General features: G+C 50.1%; 1 pseudogene; it reads right to left on the bottom strand.

Moving 5' to 3' along the window:
- Positions 1-431: 431 nt before the first annotated feature.
- On the bottom strand, positions 432-1,806 carry ANKRD11P2 (ANKRD11 pseudogene 2; annotated as a pseudogene).

Raw genomic sequence — 4,155 nt, forward strand, 5'->3', positions numbered from 1 at the left:
AAATGCCCAAGATTAAAGGAAAGAAGATACAAACCACGCGGATTTGACTCCATTTCAATACGGCTGGGAGTCCTGGCTCTGTGTCCCTCCGCCTCGCTCCGCACCAGGTCTGAAGCCCAGTCTGAGGCCGTCGCAGCTCGGCGGCAACAGAACCACGGCTGGGATGGGGCTCCTGCCCCTCCGACCTGCAGGTCACTGTTTGTGAGAGGTGGACACCTTAATTTTCTTTAGTTGATCAGAATGGAACAAAAAATTTTAAAAATGTACTCCGTTCTCCAACTCCTGAAATGCCTCTGCAGTTGCTGGAGAAAAGGGCCCGAAGGTCGCCGTTTTCAAACAGAAGCTGCCGTGTGTGCGCGCCCGGCATGGTCTCCTCATCCCGCCGGGGCCAGTGAGGCTCTGGGGGCTTTGCCCCCGCCGCGGCAGCTGGTAGAGAAGAGACGTGTTTCACCTCCCCGACGTCTGGACCAGTCTGGAAGGGATGGAGGCGCTGTGGCCAAGTGCAGTCTCTCTCGGGGTCTCTCCCCGCCCGGGTGGACAGGGCGCTCCCTCCTCCGCCCCTGGGGCTCAGCAGCAGTCCTGGGCAGCCGTGCGGCCCTCGCCTGCGTCCTGCGGCCGTCCCGCGGTGTCATGCCGGCAACAATACAAAGTCGTCGTTGACGTCGACCATGGGCACGTAGAAGGAGGGCACCTCGTTCACGCACAGGGACTTGTGCCCGGCGGGGTCCAGTTCCTGCACCTTCAGCTGCCACTCCATCCTCTGCACGGCGTTCAGGGCCGCGGCCTCGTGCTGCTGCCGCATGAGGAGGCAAGTCTTCATGCGGTCATACTTGTCATCCACGTCCTGGAGCCAGGAGATGAACTGGCGGGCGTTGAAACGGTCGCGCACTGACTTGTTCTCGTCACCCTGGCTCTCCAGGGGCATGTTGTAGACCTCGGAGTCCAGCAGCATCGTGCAGGTGCTGAATGGCACTGCCTGGTTGGCGATGGTCCTGGCCGCCCGGCAGTGAACCCGCAGAATCTCCTGCTCACAGGATACGATCAGCTTCTCCCTCTCGATGCTGTGCTGTAGACGCAGCTTTCCCCGGACGGCCTCCTGCTGCCTGAACAGCTCCTTCAGGGGCTCCGCCAGGGAGGGAGGGGGTGCGATCACGGGGATGTGGAGCTTGCTGAGCGGCTTGCCGTCCAGGAGGTAGGAGCCCGTGTAGGTGACGTACTGGGCGTACCACTGGGGCGCCTGCGGCGTGATACAGCACAGGATCTTGCGCTTCTCCTCGATCTTCTTCCTGATCTGCAGGTATTCGAAGTAGGGGTTGGCCCTGTCGCTGTGGTAGGGCTCGATGGCATCCAGCTTGATGGCGTCCACGATGGCGGCCAGCGTCTGCTGGATCACCTCCCTCGTCTGCTGCGTGGACGTGTTCAGCTGCTGCTGCAGCTGCTGGGTGGAGCGCTGAAAGCGGCGTTTGCGCGGATGCTGGGCCTGGGCGTCGTCGTCCTCGGAGCCGCGGGCCTTGGCCCTGGTGACCGGGGCAGGGGTGGGGGCGCACTCCTTCTCGGAGGGGGGCGGGCCCTGCTTGCTCTGGTTCGCGAGCATCTGCGCCCGGTTCCTGGTCATGCGCTGAGGGATCTCCTCCACTCGGGGGGCCTTCGGGGCTTCGGCCGTGGGTTTTGGTTCTGCGGCTTCCGGCTGGATGCCGCCAGGAGGGCCTTCGGCTGGGGCGGCGGCACGGGAGGCCTCAGTGTCGTCCTCGGGGCCGGCACCGTCTGCGGCCTGAGCTTGTGCCACAGTGTTCGGGGCGGGGCCGTAGTTGAATCTCTGAATAGACCAATAACAGGATCTGAAATTGTGGCAATAATCAATAGCTTACCAACCAAAAAGAGTCCAGGACCAGATGGATTCCTAGCCGAATTCTACCAGAGGTACAAGGAGGAACTGGTACCATTCCTTCTGAAACTATTCCAATCAATAGAAAAAGAGGGAATCCTCCCTAACTCATTTTATGAGGCCAGCATCATCCTGATACCAAAGCCGGGCAAACACACAACCAAAAAAGAGAATTTTAGACCAATATCCTTGATGAACATTGATGCAAAAATCCTCAATAAAATACTGGCAAAACGAATCCAGCAGCACATCAAAAAGCTTACCCACCATGATCGAGTGGGCTTCATCCCTGGGATGCAAGGCTGGTTCAATATACGCAAATCAATAAATGTAATCCCGCATATAAACAGAACCAAAGACAAAAACCACATGATTATCTCAATAGATGCACAAAAGGCCTTTGACAAAATTCAACAACCCTTCATGCTAAAAACTCTCAATAAATTAGGTATTGATGGGACGTATTTCAAAATAATAAGAGCTATCTATGACAAACCCACAGCCAATATCATACCGAATGGGCAAAAACTGGAAGCATTCCCTTTGAAAACTGGCACAAGACAGGGATGCCCTCTCTTACCACTCCTATTCAACATAGTGTTGGAAGTTCTGGCCAGGGCAATTAGGCAGGAGAAGGAAATAAAGGGTATTCAATTAGGAAAAGAGGAAGTCAAATGGTCCCTGTTTGCAGATGACATGATTGTATATCTAGAAAACCCCATTGTCTCAGCCCAAAATCTCCTTCAGCTGATAAGCAACTTCAGCAAAGTCTCAGGATACAAAATCAATGTACAAAAATCACAAGCATTCTTATACACCAACAACAGACAAACAGAGAGCCAAATCATGAGTGAACTCCCATTCACAATTGCTTCAAGGAGAATAAAATACCTAGGAATCCAACTTACAAGGGATGTGAAGGACCTCTTCAAGGACAACTACAAACCACTGCTCAAGGAAATAAAAGAGGATACAAACAAATGGAAGAACACTCCATGCTCATGGGTAGGAAGAATCAATATCGTGAAAATGGCCATACTGCCCAAGGTAATTTACAGATTCAATGCCATCCCCATCAAGCTACCAAAGACTTTCTTCACAGAATTGGAAAAAACTATTTTAAAGTTCATATGGAACCAAAAAGGAGCCCGCATCACCAAGTCAATCCTAAGCCAAAAGAACAAAGCTGGAGGCATCACACTACCTGACTTCAAACTATACGACAAGGCTACAGTAACCAAAACAGCATGGTACTGGTACCAAAACAGAGATGTAGATCAATGGAACTGAACAGAGCCCTCAGAAATAACGCCTTTCATTATTGATTTGGAAAACAGTTTTTATACACTGCAGATGTTAACTTTGTGTGACCCGTGTAGATTGAAAATAATTTTTCCATGTTTGTGGATAGTCTTTTGACATGCTTTATAGTGTCTTCAGACACACATATATTGTTATTTTAACATAGTGGTTTTTTCTCTATTGCTTATGTTTTTTTTATTTTATTATTATTACACTTTAAGTTTTAGGGTACATGTGCACAATGTGCAGGTTAGTTACATATGTGTACATGTGCCATGCTGGTGTGCTGCACCCATTAACTCGTCATTTAGCATTAGGTATATCTCCTAAAGCTATCCCTCCCCCCTTCCCCCCACCCCACAGCAGTCCCCAGAGTGTGATGTTCCCCTTCCTGTGTCCATGTGTTTTCATTGTTCAATTCCCACCTATGAGTGAGAATATGCGGCGTTTGGTTTTTTGTTCTTGCGATAGTTTACTGAGAATGATGATTTCCAATTTCATCCATGTCCCTACAAAGGACATGAACTCACCATTTTTATGGCTGCATAGTATTCCATGGTGTATATGTGCCACATTTTCTTAATCCAGTCTATCATTGTTGGACATTTGGGTTGGTTCCAAGTCTTTGCTATTGTGAATAGTGCCGCAATAAACATATGTGTGCATGTGTCTTTATAGCAGCATGATTTATAGTCCTTTGGGTATATACCCAGTAATGGGATGGCTGGGTTAAATGGTATTTCCAGTTCCAGATCCCTGAGGAATCGCCACACTGTCTTCCACAATGGTTGAACTAGTTTACAGTCCCACCAACAGTGTAAAAGTTTTCCTGTTTCTCCACATCCTCTCCAGCACCTGTTTGTTTCCTGACTTTTTAATGATTGCCATTCTAACTGGTGTGAGATGGTATCTCATTGTGGTTTTGATTTGCATTTCTCTGATGGCCAGTGATGGTGAGCATTTTTTCA

The sequence above is a fragment of the Homo sapiens genome, chromosome X (genome assembly GCF_000001405.40).
Source record: "Homo sapiens chromosome X, GRCh38.p14 Primary Assembly".
NCBI classification, from domain to species: Eukaryota; Metazoa; Chordata; class Mammalia; order Primates; family Hominidae; genus Homo; species Homo sapiens.